At 37.0% G+C, this 27,430-nt stretch overlaps 1 protein-coding gene across 2 annotated transcripts in view; it reads left to right on the forward strand.

Annotated features, from left to right (window-relative positions):
• PDZRN4 (PDZ domain containing ring finger 4) overlaps window positions 1–27,430 on the forward strand; it is a 386,426-nt gene that overhangs the window by 310,221 nt on the left and 48,775 nt on the right. For both annotated transcript variants that reach the window (NM_001164595.2, NM_013377.4), the window contains 2 exons: window positions 7,916–8,172; window positions 11,271–11,373. In NM_001164595.2, the coding sequence (NP_001158067.1) occupies window positions 7,916–8,172; window positions 11,271–11,373 (360 nt within the window). The remainder of the gene's footprint in view (window positions 1–7,915; window positions 8,173–11,270; window positions 11,374–27,430) is intronic.

Raw genomic sequence — 27,430 nt, forward strand, 5'->3', positions numbered from 1 at the left:
ACACATTGTTTTATCAGGAACCCACTCATGTGATAATAGCATTAATCCATCCGTCAGTGCAGAGCTTTTATAAACTAATCACCTCTGAACGTTTTCATATCTCAACACTGTTGCATTGGGGATTAAGTTTCTAACGTGTGAACTTTGAGGGACACATTCAAACCATAGCAGGGATATTCTACAAAATACCTGTACACATCAAACAACTATATAAATACTTTAAATTTGTTCTATGATCTCAATAAAAGTTATATTTTAAAATCTCCCTTAAAAATGTGTAAATTTGCTAAATCTGACAAACTCATAATCTCATTTTAGATGCAACTACTTTTGATAGTAAAGTTAATTTGCAAAGATAACAAATTTTAGTTCTTGCCACATTTTTGTTAAAGTCAGAAGAGTTTCATGCTTAGGGTCCCAGAAGAAAACAAATAGCATAATCAAAGCGTTTAATTGAAGAAAGTTTAATGATGGAAAAACTTACAAACGCATGAGCAGAGTTAACATAAAGAACCTAGGGAATAGCAAGAGAGAGAGAGAGACGTTCTTACTACCTGTAGACCTGGAGAGTGAAGGTGAGTCAGGATTGTGAGCAGAGCCAAGCAAGAGCTAGAGTCTTGGGGACTGGATAAAGACCTGTAATACTCTCTAACCATTGGCTTAACCAAACAAAAAAACAGTAGAGATCCTGGGTGAGGCAGGGGTGCCAAGACAGAGAGCTGGGTAAAAAGAGCAGATTGTGGATCTGAAAGACAAACCAAAGACATCCAACTCATGTGCCAAAAAGCAGAAACTTCCATTTCTTTCATTAAGGTGAGGGGAAATAAACTTATTTATAAAGAGGTTAATAAAACTATGTCGTGTGCATTTTAGTTTGTTTTCCTCAGTAAGAATCAGAACATACCATAACACGTTTCTTAATTATAGGAATAATTCATATAAATATGCACTCTTCAAAGGTGTTAAATGCTTTGATGGGAAAGCTTAAAAGAGAAGTGTGACAGTGGGAACAAGGAAAGGAAGAGAAAATACAGAAGGAGGGATACAAAAAAAGCAAGACAAGGAAAAGATAATGAAAGGAAAAAGCAGTTGCAACAGATACATCCTCAAGATTACCTATAACCAAAATTATTCATTGGTTCAGGAACAGTTTGGATAAGTTCACAAATAATGGATCCATAACCTCTTCATACGAAAAATTAAAAATGAGTCCTGCTTGCATTTGAGAATGCCTTACCATCAAAGTGCTCTGTAGAAGGGATCAGAAGCAACATACTGGACTATTGTGACCTCAGTGTCACAATCTATTAACTAAATGTAATAATAGGCTTTTCAAATATCTCATTGGGGTGCTGGGAGTCCTCAATTCAATACTGTTACATACGTAAGCATTTCCAAGGCATTCAATTATCTTAGGTTGCAAATGGGTGTTATGTTAAATCAGATTGGTAGAGGCAAATCCCAAAATGTCACAAGTAATAGGTTAGGCAACAGTCTTTATTAAGGAAACACACAAGTCAGGAATCAGCAATACACAGTCAAGCAAGGGACCAGAAACTGTGGGCATGTGGTGGGTCTGTATTTCAACAGAGGGATCCCACCCTATTGTTGCTCTCTCTTATAGGGAACATTGTCAGTAAGGGAACAGACTACTGGAGGTTCAGGCTGCCTGGGTTAGATATCACTTATTTTCATTTGTCTGAGAAAGCCAGCTGCCTGGCAAAGTCCCTGGGGATTTTGGAGCTAAGGGAAGCTGCAACACCCTATACCCAGGGAAATGAAGCTCCCAGTCTCTTGTTGTCCAGACAGACAAGCAGAAGAAGCCCCAGGATCACTTTAGGATAAGTCTGCTTATTGTGTCACATGGAATAATCACCATATTCTCTTCCAAAAATCCAATTATAGCACTGTCCAAAGCGGAACACTGGACTAAATGGACTTTGGGGTTGATGCAATCTAACATTTCCTATGTACTTAGGTTCTGAAATTATATGAAGAACACAAACCTACATATCAGTGATTGTTTTGTTCATTGATAACCTTTTTTTTAAAGGTCGAAGTTAATTTTAGTCAGGTTTCCTTCATACAATTTTGCAGATTCCTATTATGTGACTTCTTTTTATTATAAATATGTTTTACACTGTGCTATATTCCATTAATATAACAATGTTCAAATAGAGTCAATCATACCAAAGTTTAGGGAAAAAAAAGCAGTGAGCTGAAATTTCTTAAAATTAATTTGAAGATTGTATATGACAAGTGTTTTGATGAATATAGGGTTCAGATTATCTGAAATTCCTTCTCTACCAAACATTTCAGCAGCAATTTAAATATTGTTTCTTCCTTCTGTAAAATGTTACTAGATTGTGCTTTGGCAACACCTCCCTAATTATCAAATAGAGAATTGACTCTGCGTCACTTAGGGACTTCAGTCAAAATTAATTCCACAGTTACTAGTGAGGGTGGGAGATCTTGTAGACTAACCAGGTACAGGATCATGTCCAACCAGAATTATAATACACAAGTATTTTATACTTATCCTCAATTTCAAATTCGGTTATATCAATTGTCCATAATCCTTGGAATTCTATGCTTCTTTTATGGCGCCTTCTTAAATTTATTCTCCCTTGAAAGCCATAGGTGCTTAGAAGCCCTTATTTCTCATAAGAGGCATGGAGATTTGGAAACCCTCATCATTCTCAAACAGCTGACTCTAGAAATGGCTTCTCACTAGAGTGACTGAGTTATTCATGCACTTGTTAGCACTTCAAAAGAAAATCAAAAAAGGCTGTTTGTTTTCTGATATCCAAGAAAATTTTGCATGTGGTTGGATTTGGAGGAATAATCAAAGGGGAACAGCTCAAATCCAAGCTGAGGCCACTAGGCACTCTGGGGAAGTTATTGAAGAGTGGCCCAGATTTTGCAGTATATCCAAAAGGGTAGATGATTCATTAAACAGAAGCTTCATCAAATATTACCATGATATGGTTTACATATGAAAAGCCCTCTTCTTTACCTAACATTCGCAAGTTGCTTATGGATTCATTAGCCCATCTGCCATAAGAAATGTATTCGCACATTTTTTACATTGATCACTGAAAAGTGATTGCTTTTTCTTTATCCACTTAAGATTATGCTATCAATATAATGGGAAATAATAACTTTTTAGAAACAGGATAATTATTTTTGTATCTAAAAATTTACATGTGTTTATTACAAGCCATCACTTGAATATATAATCTTTAAGGATATTTGTCTGTGCTGATCTGAATTGATAAGTGCAGGGATGAGGCGAAGACCTTCTCAGAAAATGGTTTCCTATGATCAATTTTTCTTCTAGTTTCCTATCATCCATTTACTTGTTAATTCATTTGAATATATACCTTATAACTGCTTCAAGTTTCATATGATTAAGAATGATTAAGACTACCCTCTCCACTTTTTTTCTAATCCTACATTTAGTTTGTCTCGGGACAACCACATGTCACTGTTTATCCTAGAATTTCTCTCATTGGCATCATCCTTTCTTCTTTTTTTGCTGTTGCCAATTCTGATAACCTCTCGTTGCATAATGTGTCTGCTTTTTCATTTATCTCAAGTCCAGTGGCTAAATTATCATTTCAGAATCCAATCGTCCCACCCTGGGACTACTAGCCTCTTATCGAATATCAATGGCACAAACCTTTTCAGTTGTACACTAGTTGCCCGGTTACAATGGAAACAAATCAGTCTGAGCCACAGCTATCGAAACGCCAGAAGTTATGGCAATAGAGGAAATTATTGCATATACTACTCCTGTTTATTATGACACCCTATCCTCTCAATCATTCGATATAACAACCGTTTTGGAAAAAGGCTCTTTTCCTATGGTATGCTTAAATCAAATTGCTCTTTCTTAAAATCCTTCTGCATGCAAACTCAAACCCCATAACACATGGGTATTTTTTTCAGTAATCAAGTTACCTTGCACCCTCTTCCCTCAGTTTTGCTCCTAACCATATTCATATTTTCTCCTGAAAATCAACTCATCTGTATTCCTCTAGCAAAAGATCTTCCCACCTTTTACTGGACACCCAGAAATATTGGGTATCTACCCTTAACTACCTATTTTAAATGGGACTCCTTTAATGGATAGTTTCTTCACCTTTAGTCTCATCTCACAAAACAATTAAAAACTATATGTCATCCGTACAAGACTAAATTTAAGATTGAGACAAAGGAGTAAGAGGGAAGAGGAAAAAAGGGAAGGTGGGATGGAGGGACAGAATATAGTGGTAAAGAAATAGAATAATAAGTAAGGATATGGCAATATGAAACACCAAATATCTGTTATTGGTTTAAAAACTAATCACTTGAAAAAAAAGGAAGTTTTGCTGTTGTTAACAAACTTCTCCTAGAGGGTTAACTGTAGATATTCTTCCCATATAATTCTTCTCTCTAGCTGCAACTGATGATAACTGAGCAGAGCAATTGCCAGAAAATCCCAATTAAGCTCTTCTTTTCTTTTCTTGGGAAAGGCATAATATATAAAATGGTGACCTTTTGATGGGCTAACAGTATGTTGATGAACTTCAAGTGAAGTGAAAAAAAAATGTGTTTAGGATCATCAATGCTTGCATTTTCTAAGGGATCATGTGTAGCAGTAGAGCATTTAAAGGTCATAGACTTCTTTACTTTGAGAGATATTAAATAGCTTATGAAAATAGAGGTCAGCTGCATGATAACTGGAAGAAAAGAGCATTCCCCAATAGGCAAGTAAGATCTTGAGATTACACTGACTGTCCTTTTTTTAAGATTGTATTTGATTGTTCTTAGAGAAAAGAATGAAATTTGCATATAAATTTCATGATAATAAATAAATGAATGTATAGGTCATATAATAAATAGCCATTGATCTTGACATATGAACGCTAATATTGTTTGCACATACTAAGCATTACAATAATGATTTCACAGCCTCAAATACTTTTCAATGATTTTTATATTTCCTCAGAAAAAACTATACTCTTCTGGATTTTGCAAAAACAATCCTACTTAGCTTATAGTAACACAGATAAATAATCATTATCAGTAGGAATCTCACTTTTTAAAAATCTCTGTTGCTTCGAAGATCACTGAAGCAAATAAACATTCAGAACACCAGGACTAGATTAACATGTAAGGCTGAGGAAAAATGAGCCTTGCCTTGTCTTGGGGAAAAAATAGGTGAATGGCATTTATCTGTCTACTACCTATTGAAACACTTTGTGCATTAGTAGAATTTAATGTACAACTGGAAGAAACCGTGGTCACGAGTTTTTCACTTTACCTTCAGATATTGGATAAAGTTGCCTCAAAAAAATGGTCTTATTTCACTCTACCACTATTAGGGATTCCTCTTGATGCAAGGCTTATAAGAAAAGATAACATGTTGACACAGTTCCAGTAGATATATTGAATAGTTGATAAGGCCAGGAGTGGTGGCTCATGCCTGCAATCCCAGCACTTTGGGAGGCTGAGGCGGGTAGATCACGAGGTTAGGAGTTAGAGACCATCCTGGCCAACATAGTGAAACCCCGTCTCTACTAAAAATACAAAAGTTAGCCTGGCATGGTGGCATGCGCCTGTTACCCCAGCTACTTGGGTGGCTGAGGCAGGAGAATCATTGAACCTGGGAGGCGGAGGTTATGGTGAGCTGAGATCACGCCACTGTACTCCAGCCTGGGCAACAGAGCAAGACTCCATCTCAAAAAATAAAAAATAAAAATAAATAAATAAATAGTTGATAACAGACTGTGTGACTGAGATTTCTTTTCAGAGAGGGAAGGGTGTGGGTTCCTGCAGGAACAGATCTTCACTAAACTCAGGGTACATCCTGAAGCAGGAAGGCTGAGGACAAAAGAGCAATTTTTACCTACTGCATCAATTCTCACAGAGCAGTCTTACCTACCACTTGATTATCTTCCACAATCTGGAATGTATAAATACTGACCACAATATGAAACATATGGGATGATATTATTCAATGAAAGGGGCTAGATTTTATGTTGTGCTTTTTCGTTCTGGGATTTCTTATATCATCTGCTGTCTACATGTCCTCAGGGGAGACAGTAGTGGCCCCGGCCTGAGCACCTGTCATACAGCAGAAGCTAAAGGAATGAGTGTGATCATGTCCATAGGTGTCTCATGTCCACATATCCTCATGTGCCCCAAGTCAGATATTCCAAGGTGTATCAATGAAAACTCAGTGATAATTTTTCAAGTTTAGTTCATGAAAAAAAGAATCAGACAGAGAATGCATAGATTAGTGAATGTGTTCACACTGGTAAACACCCAGTCAGATCTCCACCTGGGGTTTCTTACTAGTGATTCAAGAGCAAGAACTGAATTGGGACATATTTTGCTGGTGAAGAAGCTTAATTGCTCATTTTTTGAAGGCACATTAACTCTTTCAGGGTCCACTGAGTAAATTAGCTCCTCCAGGTCATTAAGCCTGCCTCTACATGACATGATGATTTCTACCTGGCATTGTATCATTTACCCCAAAACGCCCCACACTTGCTCTGAGCACACACATATTCCTTGTCTACTCAGGGAGAGAGAATGTGCCCATTCGAATGTCAGCAGTTTCTCTACAGCTGCAACTCAGTGACTTCTTTTGCTTCTTTTTTAGGCACCCAGGGATCTCTAAGGGTTTGCTGGTGCGTAACAGTTATCAGTGCCTCACCAACAGGCGGGTGGCTTAGTTAGCTGTCTAGAGATGGTATAGTTTCAGGGATATTGGGCACAGTATTGTGCCACCAGATAGCTCTTCACATCTGCAAAAACCAGCATTATCGATTCATCTGGGGCGAGAGTCATAAAGCTCTTTCAGGATTCTAGAGTCCTTTATTAAAACACAACTTCCGCTAAAAGGCTGTGTTATCAGGACTCATTTTAGGGGAATAAATTGACAAATATTTGAGAGTGGTCTGTTTTGCCTCCCACAAGTTTGCTAGGGAAAATGTGTAGGTGTTTTGGGAACCACAGAGGTTGGGAAACATTCCTGGCCCTTGGTAAGCTGGCATAGGAGAGTCCCACAAAAAGAATAATTTTTCTCTCCCAAATGCCAATGGTTTCTGCCCCTGTTGAAAAGCAATGACTGAGGACAAAGGGAGACTTCACCTCTTTCTCTGTAATGTCCAGGGCTACCTTGGAGAGTCATGAATTGGTAGAAATTAAAACAAGTGAGTATCTAGAGGGACATAATATACCCATTCAGAGGAATTTTAGAGCATTGCTTCTTTCAGTGAATATAAATATAAAGCCGGAATCTTGTGAGTATGCCAATTCTGATTCAGTGGGTCCAGGGTGGTGCCAGGGATTCTGTATTTCTAATAATCTTTCATGTGATGCTGATGCTGCTAGTTCACAGACCACACTTCAAACAGTGAGGATTTAGGATAAAATGCACATGGGCAATAACATGGTCTTGGATTAAAACATTATGAATATGGAGGAAATTTGACAATATCTTAAAAAATTAAATTTTAGGCAAGTAAGACCTTGATTAAATATTGAAAATCTCACCGAGAGATTGATAGATCATGAAAAAGTAGGATATACTTAACATTTCTAACTATCTGAAGACTTCGGTGACCCTTTTCTGAAGCAGATGTGTTACTTAAATTTTTAAATCTTTGCTAATAGTTCTGCTGTTTTACTAGTTAACCAACTCCAGATACTTTATAAAGATACAGAAGTAATTGTTGTTGTAATCTCAGGTACTTCATCATGTTGGTAAAGACTTCAGTAAATATTAATATCTGATTAAATATTCCATTACAAAATTCATATCAGGGCTGGTTGAAACCTTTCTCTCTGTCTTTTATTAATCTATCATGACAGCCTCTCTGATCTTTCCTCTGAGATGAACAATGTCCTTATATGTTTGTAGGTCAATGGGAAGGATCTTTCAAAGGCCACTCATGAAGAGGCAGTGGAAGCTTTTCGCAATGCCAAGGAGCCCATTGTGGTGCAGGTGTTAAGGCGAACACCTCTTAGTAGACCAGCCTATGGGATGGCTTCAGAAGTGCAGCTTATGAATGCCAGCACTCAGACGGACATCACCTTCGAACACATCATGGCTCTGGCCAAGCTTCGTCCACCTACCCCTCCAGTGCCAGACATCTGTCCATTCCTGCTCTCAGACAGGTATTTTTCTATCATTTCTTCCAAAGCCCTGTTTGTTTCCATTTGTCACGTAAAGCAGATGTTGAAAAGAAGCAGTTCCACTAGCAGGTTGACAGTTATGGAGACAGGCTTCCCAGCTCCGTTTGGAAAATGTCTCCCCTGTTTTGATATGTGCAATTAGTTCTCAGTGGTCCCTGCTAGCTACTCTCCCTGACCCACATGGTTGCTCCACCTGGGTAATCATACTTGCTAGCTGCTGTGAAAAATTCTGGCTCTGATTAGTTCATCTTCATATTACTAGCTGTCAAAAGCCTCATGCTACTCATGAACACTGGTCAGGGAAATCACTTTTCTCACCAAAGCTGCCAAAAACCTTATTAAGACTCATGTGGAAGTGGCATCTTGGCACCACATTCTCCTCTGTGGGCCACCTCTCTCTCTTCCTTGCATTTCTCTTCTTTAAAGAGAAGCTAGGAAATTGATTTAATTAAAGTGCAATTCTCTGACGAAAGCACTTACCCAATATATTGAGATATAAACAAAGGATCTTGGCTGTCAGAGAGTAAGTATAGTGCTATCAAATAAAGATCTATTCAAGGAATACTTCCTCCTGATTTTTGCCTAATTTAAAGGAAGTCAGAGAGATTTTATTCAAATAATCCTACTTGAACAGTTTTAAAAGTATGCTTGCCCAATTCATTGTGTTCTGTGAGCTTTCGAGCAAATATTCAAACATTGAGAGTTTGTAAGAGCAATAGTCTCCTTAGCCTGCATTTTCATCACCTACTCCAATCCGCTCTCTACTTCATAAAACAAAGATCTGAGTCATGCCACTTTCCTGCCCTTTGATGGCTGGCTCCCATAAGCCCGTTTCAGTGGGTCACAGATGTACAATAGAATCACCTGGGAACTTTCAGAAGCTGTATCAGTACCTGAATCACTCCTTAGGCCAATTAAATGAGAATTCTTAGAGTAAGGCTTAGGCATCAGAAATTTTCAAAAGTCTCCCTAGGCAATCCTAATGTGCAGCCAAGTTTTGAAAACACTTCTTGAGACTTCGAGTTCCAGGAAGGCAGGGGATCTGTTTGTCTTGGGTATCTCTTTATTTTAAATAGCCCTTTGTATCAGACACAAATTGGATGTGTCAGGGCTTGCAACTAGATGCTTGGCATAAAACTATGAACAAAAATAAAGTCACTGCCTTCTAGAGTTTATATTCTACAAGGGGAGTTGAACAAAAAGCAAGGAAACAAATATATAATATTCATTAATACAGCCTAAAACATAGTAGCCATCCAACAAATACTTCCTTGAATGAATAATAATAGCTAGCTTGTATTAGCTAACTTAACATGCTTTCAGTATTATTCCAAACGTTTTGCATTTATTGACTCATTTAGTTCTCACAATAATCTTAGGAGGGAGTACATTATATTATCAACATTCTATGTCTAAGATGAGGGAACAGATATTAAGTAACATGGCCAAGATCACATAGCAAAAAAGTGACAGGGCCAGGCTTCTAGGCCTAAGAGGTCTGACCCCAATGCCTACCCCCTTAGCCAGTGCATCTTGCTGCTCTTCCTAGGTCCTGCAGACCTTAGCTTAGAGACAACCTCCTCTAGAAAACTTCCTAGGGCTGCAGTGGGTCCACCCCTACCATGTGCTCCCAAGGCTCCTGTATTTTTCCCTTAATTATTGCACTGTATTAAAATTCCCACTTTGCTGCTTTCCCCAATTAATAGGGCAGAATTGGATTTTGTAAACCAACATATTTCCAGCACTTGGCCTTGCATCTGGCAGCCACTAAATAAACGTCGAATGAATAAAGTGTTCCTCACAGCAGGGCTCCCTTCTTACTATCCGAAAGACAAGGGAAACACATCAGATGTCCAAAGCAGCAGGCTTCGATATTCCAAGAGCCCAAAAGGGCTATGCGGACCCAGTCCAGCTATAAGCAAGGAGATTTATCTGGTAGACACAAGGCAAGGTGCTGCCTGTATTACTTTTACCATTTTGGCCTACACTAGTTAGACCTGTGTGGAGCTGACAGCCATAGATAGTAGTGAGGAGAGGCTGGTAGAATATTTACGCTGACTATAGTATGAGGGCATGAGGATGGGTCTCTTGCCTTTCAACAAGGGAGAAGGGAACTAATTGATACTGCTATCTCCAATTTTTCAAAAAGATCCACACTGGCAGGAGTTAGAGGTCTCATCTGCAACCAACTTGTCAATTGTATTTAGGCTTTTTCAGTGTCTTTTAGAAATAGAAAAGGCCTTATGCTCTTTGCTGTTAAACTATGCTTAGTCTTCATATGGTATGATGTGTAGTCTTTATATCAGAACATACTAAATCGAATAACATGTTTACAAACTATTTAAAAATTTCCTAAAAGTTGAAATACATAAAAGCCATATCCTCTCATTTCCTTAATGTAATCTGCTCTCTCTGTCACTGAGAATTTTCTAAAGGTATTTTGAAACCTTGTGGCTTATAGGAGTTTCCACTGATTGATCGCCATGAATGTTCTTTAATATTTGTGTATATGTCCTTGATCAAAGAGGGGAAAATGTGCATTATGAGGGAGAGTGAGAAAGGGGGATCTTAAGAAAGAGAGGAGGGGACAATGTGAGCACATTTTAGAGTCTGAAAAAATAAGTGCTTTTGAAAATGGTTTTCAAAAAATAGTTTGCAGCTGTGGATTATGAAATTGGTAGTACTTTATGACAAAATACCCCTCTTTGAGTAGACTGCAATCTCAAATGCCACACACCCACGTATGGAGCTTGTCACATTCAGTGGAATGGAAGCAGGCCAGAAAGTATCAATAAAGCACCACGGACTGTCAGAGATTTCACATCAGTCTTTCCACAGAATACAACTCTGACCATAGGCCCTTATTCCTAGCATTCTCTCAGAAATTGCAAATTGATGGACTTCACGTAGAGGGAGAAAGAAAAGCTATTGCTTTTCCTCAGCTGTAGTTTGTTTAAAGACTAGATCACTACAGATCTTATTCCAAAGCAGAGCAAACTAAAGTGAAATTCTAAAATCAGTTTTAATCTGGAAAACAACCCATTTAATCTATTCCTATCATATTGCTACATTCCCCATAGCTGCCATTCTCTACATCCAATGGAGCATGAATTTTATGAGGACAATGAGTATATTTCCAGCTTGCCTGCTGATGCAGACAGAACAGAAGACTTTGAATATGAGGTAAGGTCATTTTCATACCACTTCACATTTCTTCATGAAGTTACGGTTGAGGGGTTTTGTATAACAAAGAAATTAATTTATTACAGTGAGAAATGTCTTGTCTATTACATATCCAGTGTAAGATCTTTCAAATACTATTTGCTTTAGCTATGTGGCTCTCGTGTTTTAAGTATATTGGAAAATATTTTTATAGTATAAGCTTAAATATAATTTGCTCTCATTTTGTTGCTTTTTAATAAATAATATTGCAACAGCTACATTTTTAAAATCTGTTCTATAATATATGTGGATTTCCAAGTGGAGTTTGAAAAATATATTTAAAACAAAGATTGTGTTTACTATTTTCATTTGTTGTATAATATTCTAATTTTCATTGATAAACTAAATTTTATTATATTGTATTCTTTGGAAATGCAATACTCTCTTTGTGCCTCTGGTCTGTACTCTAAAGAGCCATTTCACAGACTTCCTAGAAATAGAGATGGCCTCATGCCCTTTGTTGTTAAACTATATTTATTCTTCACATGGTTTAATGTCAGAATATCTGTACTGTGATATATAACAATTCGAAAAGTCCATCCATTGATTATTTAAAAGCTCTCACAAAAGTTAAAGAATGTATCCTAATATTTCCTCTGCTTCTGCAGCCTGAATATCTTTGAAAGGTTTCAGACTACTCTGACATTTAAAAATAAAATAGATTGAGGAAGTAAAGAAGCTTTGGTAAACAGGCAGAGAACCCATGGTCACCTGCCCTTTTAATGCTTCAGGTGATGTCATACAAGTTCAGCAAAGTGTTCTCTTCCACTTTACAACCAGGAAATCCTGAAATCTCTTCCCTTAGGAGGATCTGAAATCAAATAAGGAAGCTCATCTAAAGCAAATGGACGTTTGTTTGAAATCTTCTCCCCACAAAAGTCATTCCTGGGGATTACAGAAATCATTATTTCTTTGCAGCCAAAATTTAGAAGGATGTGAAATGACAACTGGTAACTGAGTAGATGGTTTTTGTCATTCTTGTGTTGTTCATGTTAAATTTTTACCTCCTCTTTATTAAGTTGATTGAAAAGTTTTATTTTCTAAATCTACTCAAGCACTGACATGCATTACAATATCCATTGCTTTGTCTATTCATGTAAAATAAATTATAAAATTGAATGACTTATCCAAATAATTCAAGATTCTTATGTTTTCCTTTTGGTTAATGAATACTTTCAGTTTGGGGACTGGAATTATGTAGATCACTTCAACTTTTTATTTGGATGCCTTAAAGCTTTATTAAAATAAGTCAGTGTGCTCGGGGAGGGCATAGGGGAAGATTGTTTAGGCTAAGCAAGTTAACAGTAAAAGCCCTTTAAATGAATCAGCATGTCATTGAAATATTACAATACAGACAGATTTCCTTACATTTCTATGGAGCTTACTGTAACTGAACCACAACCTCTTTTTTGACCAATATTAATCCCCAGCAGAAGCCAGCATCAGGATGATGTCAGTGGTGAATTCTCAGACAAGCTCTCTGTAGCCTGTAATCTCAACTAATCACAGCATCATAGTCATTAATTTGCTGTCAGCTGTGATTCCGTTGCCAAAGGCTCCTTTCTGAGTGATTGAAATAAAGAATGTTCCTGTGAAATTCAAATAAGGAAGGAGTTGCTATGACAGTTTTCAATCATTAGAAAGGATGCATTTGAGAACAACATGCATGGTTAAAGGTGGGAGTGGAGGCATGGGAGAATACCTCCAGAGAAATTTACCAGATTCAAGAGAGAATAATGGTTCTGCCCAGTACTCCTCAGTCTGTTATCATTATGTGACACACACATAGAGTGGCACATGCCATCCCTTGTGGCTGCATCAAACTGCAAAATCTAGTCAGTCCACTGCCATCATTGGAGCCTGTGGTGGACACCATTAGGCTCATTCAGTGAAGAGATTTAGAAATGCTAATTCTGTCTATGTGTTGCACTTTTACTGTTACACCTAGAAGCAGACTGATCTGGTGTTTCTGTGACCAGCTGAGATGACCCTAGCTCCTCTAGGAGCTTCCTTATAACCCTATAGCTCTAGGAGCGGGATGGATGAGCACCTTAAGGAAGTACCAGTTTTGTGCCACTGAGAGAATATCACAGGAAAGTGAGGTTTAATGGCCAAGAAGACTTCAGCTCAGAAAGAGATATGCATTCCTCTTCAACCTAAACATGAGCACAACCAGGCAATCAAGGAAGTAGAAAGAAGACTCCTTTTTCATCTGCTTTCATTCATTTGTACCATAAATATTTAATGAGGACTTAAAATGTACCAGGCAGTTATCTATGCATGGGATTAGGAAGCTCCTGCCCCAGTGGAAGGAGCTTCTAGGAGAGGGAGGTCAACAATAAACATAAAAGTAAAGACATATTCTTTTCAATGGTGAGAAGTACTAATGGAAAATAATAAGAGTGGTGTTGGACAGGATGTTGCTGTCTTATACAGAGTGGTAATGCAAGACTTCTCTCATAAGAGAACTAAAGAATATAAGAGATCTAGCCATGTGAAAGGAGATTTTCAGAAAGAAGGAAGGGCAGGGGCAAAGGACCTGAAGCAGAAGCATGCTGGGGTGTACAAGGAGTAGCAAAGAGACCAGTGAGAGAGTGGAAGGGGTGAATTCAGAGAAAGGAGGGTGTGTTTTGTGGAGCCTTTGGCTTTGACCATGATATAGGAAGTTGCTTTGACTCTGAGATGGGAAGTTGCTGGAACATAGGAAAGCCATAACAGGATTACTCCAGCTGCTGGTCTGAGACTGACAGGAAGGAAGCAAAGTCAGCTGAGAGGGAGTGGGGTATTGGACCTGGGCGGTGATAGCGGGTGGAGTATGTATGACATAATCTAGGACAGCATCCACCCCAGCCTGGAGGGCTGTGCCTCAGAGCTTCAATATAGTTTGTGCTATGGCAATTTTCTTCTGACATTTTAATGGCAAAATATTACAGGTTAGAGTGAAGCACACCTTTTGGCATCCACCAGAGCAAGAGCAATGCATCCACACTTTAAAAGAAATAGCTTCTAGTATATAGACTGCATTTCTGAACTTGCTAAAATACAAACTATGCGGCTATTTAGGTGCCTTTTTAAAGACCTACTTACTATTAACTCAGTGAACCAAAGCTGATCTGTGTATCTCGTGAGTACTTATATACAGACTTAGTGCATGGATTATTAACCCAATAGACCAAAACAGATCTGACTATCTTGTAAATACATATTTAGGGACTTTTAACACACATATTATTTCACTGATGGACTGTAACAGGTCCCTTCAGAGCCACGGCAGACAAGCAAATGCTTCTTTGGAGATATTATACTCAGTGTCCATGTTATGGTGACTCTGGTGTGTTAGGAACCTCTATGAAAATTTAATGACACCCATATCTCACCATGACCTATCACCAATTTCCTAAGAAAAATATTTGACTGGGTTTAAAATTTCCACATTGTGCTTCAGAAAAGTCTCAGAGACCAGTCTACATTAAAAGACTCACAGCTTGAAACTTGTTCTCTTTAAAAAATGATGGCACTTGTTCTCTAATTAAAAATGATAAATGAGTTTAATTTTATTTTTGAGAAAAAATAAACATATACAAATTTAACAATGCACCCATCGTAAGAGTCAGGGTGTTCCATGCCACTGGAATTTCACTAAGGATTAAGCTTCTCCTCCTTTTAGTTTCAACTTTATTCATTTTTCCCCCTAGAGCCAGCTAAAGGTTGAAATAAATCATAAATAGCCCTTAGCAAGTAGAGGCAGATCTCAAATCCAACCTCTACTAGAAATAATTTAAAGGGAAAGGTTTTAAGAAACATAGAGATCTTTTTGCCCAACTCCTAATAAAGATATGTTTGCAACTGCCTGAGTGCAAGGAAGATGTTGAATTATCTACAGCATTTGCTGTTAACTCTCAAAAGTCAATGCTAATGCTGATAGAGGGGTCAGAAACCAATACACGAAAAATTTAGATAGTATAAAACATCATGTTAGTCAAGACAAGCAACAGTTCTGTGCCTGCAGATTTTTATCACTTAGAAATATCACTTGAAATCATTTTTACTTCTCCCTCAATGATCAGGCAAAGAAACATATACAAAAGGCTGAAATAAGTACCCTTTATGCGTCCAATATCATAAAAACGTAAGCCAAAAAAATTTAGAACTTTGCTTGAAGAGGTATTAAAAGTGGAAAAGAGAGGATAAATATATGTCAGAGTTCTATGTACATGTTAACCGAAAACCAAACTTGGACCAGTGTCTATAAATAGGAGTGAGCACTTAGCATATTAATTAGCTTCCTCTTGGCAGTCCTTATGCAAGGCATAAGTAAATCCTTGTGCTGTGCTGAGAAGTGTCATTTTGCAAAATGTATTTCCTGGAGCTAGATCCCTGCAAATATGTGCTGAATATTTGTGAGACTTTAAGTATATAATCTCTCTCTTACATAAAGAAAAGAGAATCATGAATCAGGGAAATTTTCATTCAAAAAATAACAAGAGGATAATTATTAACTACATTCTATCATATTTTTTGAGCAACTTCATGATTTGTGAAGCCAGTGTTGAAAAAAAAACAAGTCCCTAGCATGATGCATGTATAGAGCTATATGGATCTTAAGGCTCTGAGGGCAGCAGCTTTATCTGCCTTGCTTATCATTGTATCACATGGTCTGTTTCACAGTGGGTGCTCAACGCATATTTCATGAAGGAATAAATGAGGGTTCCCATTGGTGTCTGCATGGACCAACTTCTGAGCCACTCAGTCCCTTTCCTCTTTTCCATACAAAGGGAAGTGGAAAAGAACTTGGGACCACTGTCCAGTTATAACAAATGCCCTCTTGCTTTCCAGCAGGTATTTGTTCTTGGAGTCAGGAGTTTTAATCCTAATGCCATTTTTGTCTCAAACACTTGTAAGGAAAGGGCAAAGAGGGTGAAAAATAGGGAGACATAAGTAATGTAGTAGAAAGCTAATGGTCTCCATGAAAATTTATCTTTACTGGCCACCTTATAAAATCATAGAATCTCATATTTGGTATAAATTTGGCATGTTCTCTAACAAACACTTGTACCCCCTTTATTACTTGTTGAACAAGGGCTCAATCAGCATATGTGAGAAGCACTGCAACAGACAGGGAAATAAGCGCTTCCCCCACTAGCCAGCGGGGGCTGTCTCTGTCCATTCAGAGATGGCTCTGTCCATCTCTGATCTTGAGAGAGGCAAACCTATCAAAGAGTTTGAAAGCCAGTGATGGAAGAAACATGATGGGTATGAAACATAATTGATAAAGAGACCATATGTTATCTGTATGTTGAAGTAGATAAACGAGAAAATAGTGTATAGAGTATAAAAGAGTAGCATATTTAGATTTGTTTAACTCACTGAATGTCTTCCACTTAGTCCCTTTTCTTCCGCTTGTTAGTCACATTTTAGAATCATTAATGAAATAGCTAAAATAATTTTATATCACTTACTACTGGGGCAGTAAAATAATCCATTAAAAAAATCACCTTCATAAGTGCCGTTCCTTTGGGAAATTTACTGAATTGAAAACTGATCTGGATGAAGTGTGAAAATTTTTTATTACCTGAGCATTAAAGATAAGATGGTATTCTGTCAGTCTGGAGTTGGTTCACTGAGGAGCCTATTAATGTCACCACCATTTTCTCAAATATTTCAGATGAGAATCTTAGTCATGTAGGCCAAACCAATAAGTGATCATATATCGGAGCTAGTATTTCCAGATGCTCTGTGGCATGTTTCTCCTTATCACTGCTGCCTTCCCTTTGTTTCCAACAATGTTCTACCTTTAGGCTAGTTTTTGGTGTCTTGTAGCCAGTCCCTAGTCTTTGCAGGCTGTCCTATTCACCACTGCCAGATCAAACCTTCTCAAGTGTGACTCTCATTGGTTTACTCCTTTGTTTATCATCTTGTATGACTCTGTTCCTTGAATTAATTCTGAAATCCTCTGCCTGGCATTGAGGGTCCTTGGAACCCTCTCACCACCTCACCTTTCCAGCACCTTGGGGTCAAACTCCACAGCACAACAATACTCAGAGGAAGCTGTGTGCTTTCCTTTCTTTGTGCCTTTGCTCATGGGCTGCTGTGCCTCTGGAATGCTTTTCTGACAATCTCTGCTATCATTCAAAGACAAGAGTCAAGCATCACTCCATCAGAAGCATTCCATGATGTCCTCCTGCCATGTACCGCAATCTTTCCCACCACTGAACTCCCACACCGCATTCTGTAAATATTTTCTGTCGTTTAGATTATGCCCCAGGCTATAGTCATTTATGTACTTGTCTATTCTTCTAAATGGATAGTCTTTCATAATAGAAGTGACCACTTGTAATTATCTGCACATCACCAGGAGGGCCCAGCACATGCCCTGGCACACAGTGAGTCCTCAGTAGTATTTGTGTGATGAATGAATAAACATTGCTGCTACTATTCTTATTTTATAAGTCCCCAAAACAAGTACAAAGTGCTAAATTGGGGGAGAGGAGAAGAAGGCTGATGGAGAATAACAATTTGAAATAAAGTAAGAAAGTCTTTTTTCATAGGATATCAATTTGTCTAGTAATTAGAGGAAATGGATTTAAGTGTATACCTGAGCCAGTTTGTAAAGGAAGAAAATTGGGATTTTTATTGTTTCTATTTTACCAAGGAACATATGCGTGTTTTACCACAAATGCGTAAGCTGGTGAACCCTGGTAGATAGACATGCTAATTTATGTAGTTAAAGAATGACGGGGGTTCTGGTCTGTTAGGGTACCTATACATCCTGGTTTGCCCTAAACAGTCTTGATGTATGGCTCATTATGAATAGCAGCTTTTTTTTTTTTTACTTTCGAAAGTATCCTAGACAATACATTGTGTGGTTGTCCTGCTTTTATACTTATTGAACTTTAGTTGAGACAGATACTTCATAATCACATGTTGTATAATCCTAACATTCCAAGCAGAATTTCTTAAATTGAATACTTAAGTTTATTAAATTGCATGATTTCCCTAAATTGAGATTCCTTTTTATTTTCTTGTAAGTCTTGCATTGTGACTAGAAAGAAAAATGCCACAAAGTTGGCAACAGTTACCACAGTATTATAATTCTTTCCGATTTCTTACTGAACGAAACAAGATTAGTATTGCTATTAATTTGTTCATGTAATTTCATAAAACAAATAAGAAGCAAATCTGTCTTTTGCCTCACTGATTGTGACAACACTAAACCTTATTTCCTAAGAAAACAATGAAAAGTAAATTGAACCTTCCAAGTTGGTTATTAAACCAGGTAAGCATGGGCACATTTATTTTACCAGGGATCTAGATATAAAATAAAGATTCCTTATACTACATATATGACTTTTATCAAAATGCCGACATTCAATTTTTGTTTGAAGATACTTATGATACACATTCAGAGGATTTCCTTGCATTACTGAAAGGTGTCTGTGAAAGGTTGTGTTTAAGGTGCATATTTGCATATCAAATCATATTTTCCAGTGACTTCTATTCTGCTTTCAAAAACTGTTTTCATAGTGGCAGAAAAAGGAGAGCTGTCTTTTACAATATAAAGCAAAATTCATATTAAAGATTCTAATATTCTTTTCAGAGGCAATAAAATAGAGTGGAAGGAAACAGACTAGGAGTGTGGCCCCAGTTCTAGATCTGTCTCTTGAATGAATCATATTCCACCTGTGTGCTCCACAGAACAACCAGTGTTGGCTGTGGAGTGATTGGTCTGCATCTATTTCTAGAATGTAACTCATATAAGCAAAGTGAGACAAATTCATGGTCAAATCCTTAAAAACTTTTACGAGTATTCTAACAGTTTAAACATATCAACCCACATTTTTTTTTAGTTGTTACAGAGAAAGCCCACACACTCACATGGCCTCACACTGGTCTATGTGTAGTAACCATATATCTCAACTGGTATCAAGTAGCACACCTCTCCGTATTATCTCTGACTTTAGCTTTAGCATTCAGAGCAAGTTAGCTCATATACATTTACCAATTTGAAATGGAAGATGCAGTCTGTAAAAACTAGAAAATAAATTACTTTATTTACATATAATACATATTTGTTAATTTAAAAATACAGAAAATAATCCTAGTTTGAATTTTTTCTTCACTATATCACATTGTCTCTGAAATGAATGAGTGGAATCCTAAAGATGATGTGTTTTATATTAGGATTACAGTTCTCCTTCTCCTTCAAGGGCATAAGCTATTGATAATACTCTGGTTTCTGGTTACATATTGCATTTACCAATATTCACTGTCTATTAAATAATCCAGTTCAGTGTAACTGAATATAAATAAAAGAGAACCAGTAAATCCAATCTATGCATTTCAGATCCAAAATACAATTTTTAAATATGATGGAAATTGTACCACCTAAGATAACCACAGTTTATATTTTGTGTGTGTTTTCCTCTTCTATGTACACTGTATGAGTGCAATTTTGCCATTTTTGGGGGTTTCAGCAATTTTTCCAGATTTTATTTAAATCATTAAGAGCTATAATTAACTGCTTTATGCATAAGTCTTTGTCTGCATTTCAGAGTTATCTCCCTGAGAAAATTTTCCCAAAGTAAAATTATTGTATCAATGCACAAGAATAGTTTATAATACTTCAGATAAATATTTATTAAAAAATTGCTTTCCAAGAAAAGATGTATTAAATTATTCTTACAAGCAATATATGAGAGTAGTATCATTAGTATTAAGTGGGCGTATTTCCTTTATTATTATATAACCTTTATTTAAAGCACATTTTAAAAGGAGCATGGCTTGAGGCCAGGAGTTTGAGACCAGTCTGGCCTATGTAGTGAGACCCCGTATCTACAAAAAAAATAATTAACTGGGCATGGTGGCATGCATCTGTGGTCCCACCTAGTCAAGAGACTGAGGTGGGAGGATTATTGATCCCAGGAGTTAGAGGCTGTAGTGAGCTCTGATCACACCACTGTGCTCCAGCCTGGGTGACAAAGCAAGACCCCCAACTCTATATAAATAAATAAAAGGTGCTTGGAATAAATATCCAGTTTATGGAAATAATATAGTTTCATCAACATAGTAAATGGGCTTAACATTATAGTTAGTATGTAATGTATACCTACTTCCATGTCAACTGTATATTCAAATATAGGTCCATAAGCATAAGGTTGAAAAAAAACAGATAAGTTTTAAGAGATTTGAATTTTCAAAGTTGAAGGACATTTTAAATGAAATCAGGAAATGCCTCCTAAATTAAGCATGCTCTGCCCCAAATCTGCTTGTTCTTCTATGCTGTCCTGTTTAACAGCCTCATCAGCTGCACAATTCTAAGAGTTACTGTGTTCTGAGCATTTACGGTGTTGCTGGGCTCTCAACTACGTGCTTTAGAGATCACCTCTAATCCTTAAAACAAACTTGCTTTCTAGGTAAAGTGGCACAGACCAGAAAGCTGACAGCAGCCCTGATTCCTTCCTACTTCTCACCTCCAACATCCACAAAATGTTCTCAGTTGAGCCTGGTGCATCTTCACAGCCAGGCCCTATCCCCAATTCCTCTGAAGCAGTAGTCCCCTCACGTCTTCCTGATCTTAGTCTCTGCCACCTCCATCTCTTTCTTACTATGAATGATCGTGTCACTCCTCTGCTGAAAATTCTTCAGTGATTTTTTTTTTATTGCTTCTACCAATGCTCTTCAATGCCTTTTCATAGAGGAAAAATGAGGAACGTGAGGGGTCTTAGCCCACCAAGTCTGGGTGTAGGGCCTAAAGAACAATTTCATGCCAGTTTTGTGCTTCATTTTCTTTTGAAATTTGCGTTTTACCTCTTAGTAGATATATTGTGGTTTCCCCACACCCACTTTCACAAATTGATACTCCAGGAAGATGCAAAGTGCTTAAATTGTAGTTTTCTGGCTCCCCTGACATTCCAGTTTGGAAAACTCAGGCCTATATAATGAAATGTAAACTCCATAGCACATGAGGCACTTCCCCCCATCTGCCTCTCTGTGCTCACCTCCCACTAATCCAAGTGTGATGTGGGAACGCTGTGCTTCTGCACACACAAACTGCCTGCAGTTCCCCAGGGATGACGTTTTCTTGGTTTTTTGTTTTTGTTCTTGCTTTCCTCTGCCTAGAATATCCCCTCTTCTCTTCCTCCACACTGTTCTATACCATTGATTTCATGACGGAGGTAGAAATAAGAACACAAAAGCAAAAAAGTTTTTTTAACTCTTAAATATTTGACAAACAAAAGATATGGTTACAGTTTTTCACTTAAAGAAGTACTGAATTCTTCTTTAAAAATGCTTAGATTCTGGCCTCTGCCCTCTCTTCCATTTGCCTTATGTGCCATTATTGTTTTTTCTTACTTTGGGTTCCGCCAAAAGTCTCTAACCTTCTTCAATATGGCTGACCTTGTTTTATGCATCCCTCTCTTCCAAGTACTCTGCACATGGTAGAATGATTGAAGCAATGACTAAATCTTAAAGACACTTGCAGGCTAGCAAAGCTAAAGCATAAATCTCGAAAAGGATTTAGAACTGAGACTCTTTGGATATACCTCTCACTTTTTCAGAAAGTTGTTTTGTTCTTCAAATTAAATATGAGAGAAAATATGATCATATTTTTGTAGTTTAAATTTGAAATTATTATTTACTTTTCCAGTAAACATGCCTAAATACAGACACACACACACACACACACACACACACACACACACACACACACAGCCTCTAACTCAGCCGCATTATTGGCTGGTAGCATGTTTAAAGTGTGTTGATGGAGCAAATAAATCTTTTGGCTCATTTCAAACCCAGAGAAAGATGTCAGCAGTAATAATGATGTTTACAGATGAAGCACTGGATGGTAATATTTTTAAATACAACAACAAATAATCTACGCCTGTAGTCATCATAAATGAAACAGATTAGGAGAATGTGAAGATGAAGGCACAAAGCTGATAACCACTTGGCTTGAACTGAGATACAGCACTTCTAGACATCGTTGAATTTTAAATGTCCATATTTCATTACTTAAAATAAGACATTTAAGGCAACATATGTTTGTATTTGGTGTTGATGCAAGCTATTATAGAAGTCACAGTTTTGGAACCGAAATCTAATTGTAAGTTGGAGCTCTGCAGTAGAAGTTATTCACCAGCCGAAGTTAAAATTGACCAGTCTCTCAAATATTCTTTTGCCTGTGCTTTCATTTCATTGTTCTTGCCCTCTTACAGATATTCTCTTTTCATATTTCTATTTGTTAGCAAAACATTTCAATAGTAGCAAAATGTTAGAAGTTAAATCTGATACTTTTTCTTCATTCTGTAAAACACATTGACACCATTTGCTCTTTTTGCTCTCTTGAGCATACCAGGTTTTTAAAGTCCCAGATTCTTCTCAGTAGGAATGAAGGATTCTATAAGAAGCAGTTACCAAATAGGAATTTGCTGTAGAAAGCTTGTTGGGAAAAAAAAGTTATACATTGTATAAGATGAATAGAGTTCTTTAGTAATCAAGGCACAATAAGAGATATTAGAGATAGAAATTTGAAATAATGGAAAAACACATATGGATTAAAAACGATTACATCATATTTGGACCAAAGAGAGTTAAAATGAAGAGAACTTTGACATGGTGCATATGAACCATAAGGAGGCTATAGAAGCACATCAGATGTACTTGACAGAGGAAACTGAAGCCTGTGAAGGTTAAATATTCACCTGTCACAGCTAGTTAATGGCAAGTGCTGGGCAAGAATTTCTTCTTTCTCTTAAGAAATGATTTTTTTATTATTTTAAAAGGACTGTATGCTTGTTATTGGTATTTCATTATTCAGTTTCCCCTTTGGCATGTAATTGAGTATGTGTTCTTTCCTAGACTGTGTAATTGTCAAGAGGATATAGTATTTCACTTTGTTTTTATAAACAAATTAAAACTAATACATCCTACATATTATGTGATTACCTGTGGTTTATCTTATGAGAGAGGCCTAAGACTCCTAAATAGCCGTTGGAAGGGTAGTGTTTTTCCAAGGGAATGTTTATGAGTAACTAGAGGATCCACTGACAGCTGTTGAGCCTTTTTTGCAGCCAGGAAGTTCATAATCCTTAAAGAATTTTTCCTTCCTTTGACTTGTACATGGCTATCTGCCAAGTAAAGACAGTTACAAATCCTTTTAAGCAAAGGTTGTAAATATGCTTTAAGAGCATGTGAGCAATGCAGTTGGGAAATTCAAAAGAAAACTGATTCCCTGTGTGGAGACATCACTAAATGTTTTTAGTTAATAATGATTTAATCACTTCCTGTCTGATAGACAAAGAAATTAACAAAATCTCTCCCTCCAAAATGAAAGTGAAAGGGACTCCAAACTTCTCTTTGTCTCACTCAGATAATTTGCATGACCAGCAGACTTTCCATGACTTACTTTTTTCTGGGTTAACTTGAAGGTCTAAGTCTCCCAAATGATGAGCTTTTAGATTTATTCACCTTAACATATTTTTTTGGAATGCATTCTCATGCAATACAACCGAGTGTAGGATGGGTAAACTAATTCACAGACATAGATTAATTCATATAGGTGGCAGCACATGTGAATATTCAATTAGTTTTACTATCTGATTCTTACAGAAGGAAATGAATTAACATTATCACCACTTCAATACTGGACTGGCCGTTTTATATGCAGGTTCTATTCTTTATGTCTGCCAAAAGAAAAGAAAGCCATACGTTCTCTCAGATGTTGGGAAATTAGCTTTAGGGTCATTTCCTGTCACTTTCCTTAATGGTCTTAAACATGTGCATAGCTGTATGGTAATAAAGTATAGACGTTCATAATATTATAATTCAAAATGATCAGTAGCTGATTAGTATCAGATCAATCATGTGAAAAGGATTCTAGAAGACTTTCTATTCCCCAAATTATTTTGCTCATATTCCAACTATATGAAATAAATTCCCCTCATTAAGTCCTCATTCACTCTTCCCTATAAATAACTTGCCCAATAATTTACAAGTCATTCCTTCAAAAACTTTTATTCCCAAGATACTAGACATCTAATTGTATCACTCTTATTGGAAGAGAAGTTGTATTTAGGTATATTTGGAATCAGCCTGAAGTGCACTCAAATCAGACTCCAGTGCTTAGTCCTGTGTGACCCCTCTGAGCCTCGGGTTCCTTATCTGTGAAAAGAAGATAGTATTAATAATACATATTTGTTAATATTAAATGTGATAATATATGAGAACGTGTAGTCCTGACTGGCACATACATGGTAGATATGTATATATTCAGATATATGCCATCATTTCGTGGCCCTGAGAGAAAAATGGCTGCCAGTTTTCCCAATTAGCTGAAAGGTCCCTCTCATGTAGATGCTGTTGACTGAGGAAGAAAATGCTGGAGAAGGAGCATAGCTATAGGTTTGCTTGTGGACAATTTGAGACATGGGAACATTCACGTGGAAGCGTCTAGAAAGTAGATGGACACATGGAGTTACAGCCAAACATAGTGAGCTCAGTGGAGTTCAGAGCTAAGAATGTCAGCCTTTAAGTGTTAGTTGGAGCCTGTGACTTCACACATTGCTCAGCAAATATTTATTAAGCACCTAGTTCGTATTAGAGACTGTCTCAGGTACTGGGAACACAGGGGGCAACAACATGGTGCCACTGCTCTCCTGGAGTTTGTATTCAAAATGGAAAGAAGCAATAAAAATTAAGAGAAGTAAGAAAATCTCAGATGAAGATAGTGTTAGGAAGAAAATAGTGTGAAATTCCAGTATGGGACAAGTACAGACAGAATAGCCAAAGAAGGCATCTCTGAAAGCTGAAAACTGAAAGAAAGAACCACCCACACAAAGATCAAAAGGAATAATAATCTTCACCAATAACAACAACTATCCCTTGCTGGAAAGTACTAGTGTATATTGACTCATGTACTCATTTTTAAGCCACTTTATAGAGGTATGAACATATAAAATCTGTGCATGTTTAATGTGTACAGCTTGATGAGCTTGGAGAGAAGTATACACTTATGAAATCATCACCACAACCTATGCCATAAACATATTTAGTAAAGTTGCAGGATACAAAATCAACATATAAAAATTAGTTGCACTTCTGTACACTAACAAGGAACTGTCTGAAAAGGAAATTAAGAAAACAATTTCATTCACAACAGCATTAAAGATAAAATACTTAGGAATAAGTATAGCCAAGGAGGCAAATAACTTGTACCCTGAAATGCATAAAATAATATTGAAATAAATTAAAGCAGACACAGACAAATGGAAAGACATCTCATGTTCCTGGACTGGAAGAATTAATATTCTTAGAATGTCTGTACTACCCAAAAGTGATCTACAGATTCAATGCAATTCCTATCAAAATCCCAATGGCATATTAACTCATTTAAGCTTTACTACAACAGTATGAGACAGGTATTATAACTATTCCCATTTTACATATGAAAGAACTGAGGCAGAGAAAAGGTCAAGAACTGTTCATAGTGGGTTAATGGAGGAGCTGGTATTCACATTGTGGTAGCCTGGCTCCAGAGCAGATGCTCATCTACAGAAAGGGAAAGTATAGAGTTCAGAGTCCCTTAGGAAAGAAGGAGCTCAATGTACTACGCAAAGAAAAAGGCCAGAGTTGTTGGAATGGTGTTTATAGAAGACAGGGGAGAATTACAGGCCCGATAATTCAGGACCTTGCAAATCATAAGGCTTATGGATTTTATTATAAGTGAAATAAAAGGATATTAGAGGGATTTAAGAAGGAAACAGCATGATTTCTATTTTTATATTTTATTTTATTTTAATTTCTATTTTAAAAATATAACTTTGGCTGCCTTTTGGCGAATACACTGTCAAGTTTGGTAAGGACACAGAGAAAGGTGGTAAGTAAGAGGTGATTGTGTTAATTCAGGTGAGAGCAGATGGTGATTTGGTCAGTTAGTAGAAGGGAAGAGAAGCCAGTGAATATTTTTGAAACATGACAGACATTATTGCTGATTGACTAATTATGGGAATAAGGAAAACAAAGGAGTTGAAAGCAGCTTCTTCATTTTTGAAGTTGAGCTATTAGATAGCTATTTCCTAAAAGGAGGAAAACTGAGGGAGGGAAAGTGTGGTGTGGGGAATTAGGAGGCAAAAATCAGGAGTTTTAGGGCACATTGGGTTTCAGAGACCTCTTAGACATGCATATAAAGATGCTGAGTGGGCCGCTATTGCAATACAGCACTCAGGGAGATACCAGGCCTGGATGAGAGAGTCCCAGGGGAGAGAAAAAGGCCAAAGACAGACTTTCAAAATTTTATTACCAACAAACTAGAGGTCTAATTGTATCGCTTATTTGAGGAGGAATTATATTTCACTATTTCTGGAATCAGCCTGAAGTGAACTCAAATCAAGCTTCACTGCTTAGTACTTGTGAGACGTCTCTGACACTCAGGTTCTTTACCTGTGAAAAGATAATATTAATAATACATACTTCATAGGATTATATGAGATAATATATAAGAACATGTAATATCATGGCTGACACATATGTGAAATATATGTAAATATATATGTATGTATATATAAACTCATAGTGTAAGTATATGCCACATATACACATATGAAACCATATAAATGATGGAATATAGATATGTAAGATAGATATAGGTATAGACAGATCTACGTAGATTTGTTATATATCTCTATTCCATCATTTAACCATTGTAAGTCTCAATTTCATCACCTATAGTAGAGAATATTTATGAAGAAAGGAAAAAATGGAAAAGAAACTCCATACCTTGTGGATGATAGGGTCCGAGTACAAGCACTTGAAACATGATTCAGAGCCATGCACAAGGAAGAATGCTCTGAGAAACATAGTAGGTCTGAATATATTCAAGTGTCCTTCATCAAAAAAAAAAATTCAAATTAAGCCCATTTGTATATTTGACTTTCATATTCTCTATTGTCCCTTTTCCCAAACATCGTAAAATAGTACTTTGATTCTCTGCCATTTTTAAAAAATCTCATTTATTTCT

The sequence above is a fragment of the Homo sapiens genome, chromosome 12 (assembly GCF_000001405.40).
Source record: "Homo sapiens chromosome 12, GRCh38.p14 Primary Assembly".
In the NCBI taxonomy this organism is placed as follows: Eukaryota; Metazoa; Chordata; class Mammalia; order Primates; family Hominidae; genus Homo; species Homo sapiens.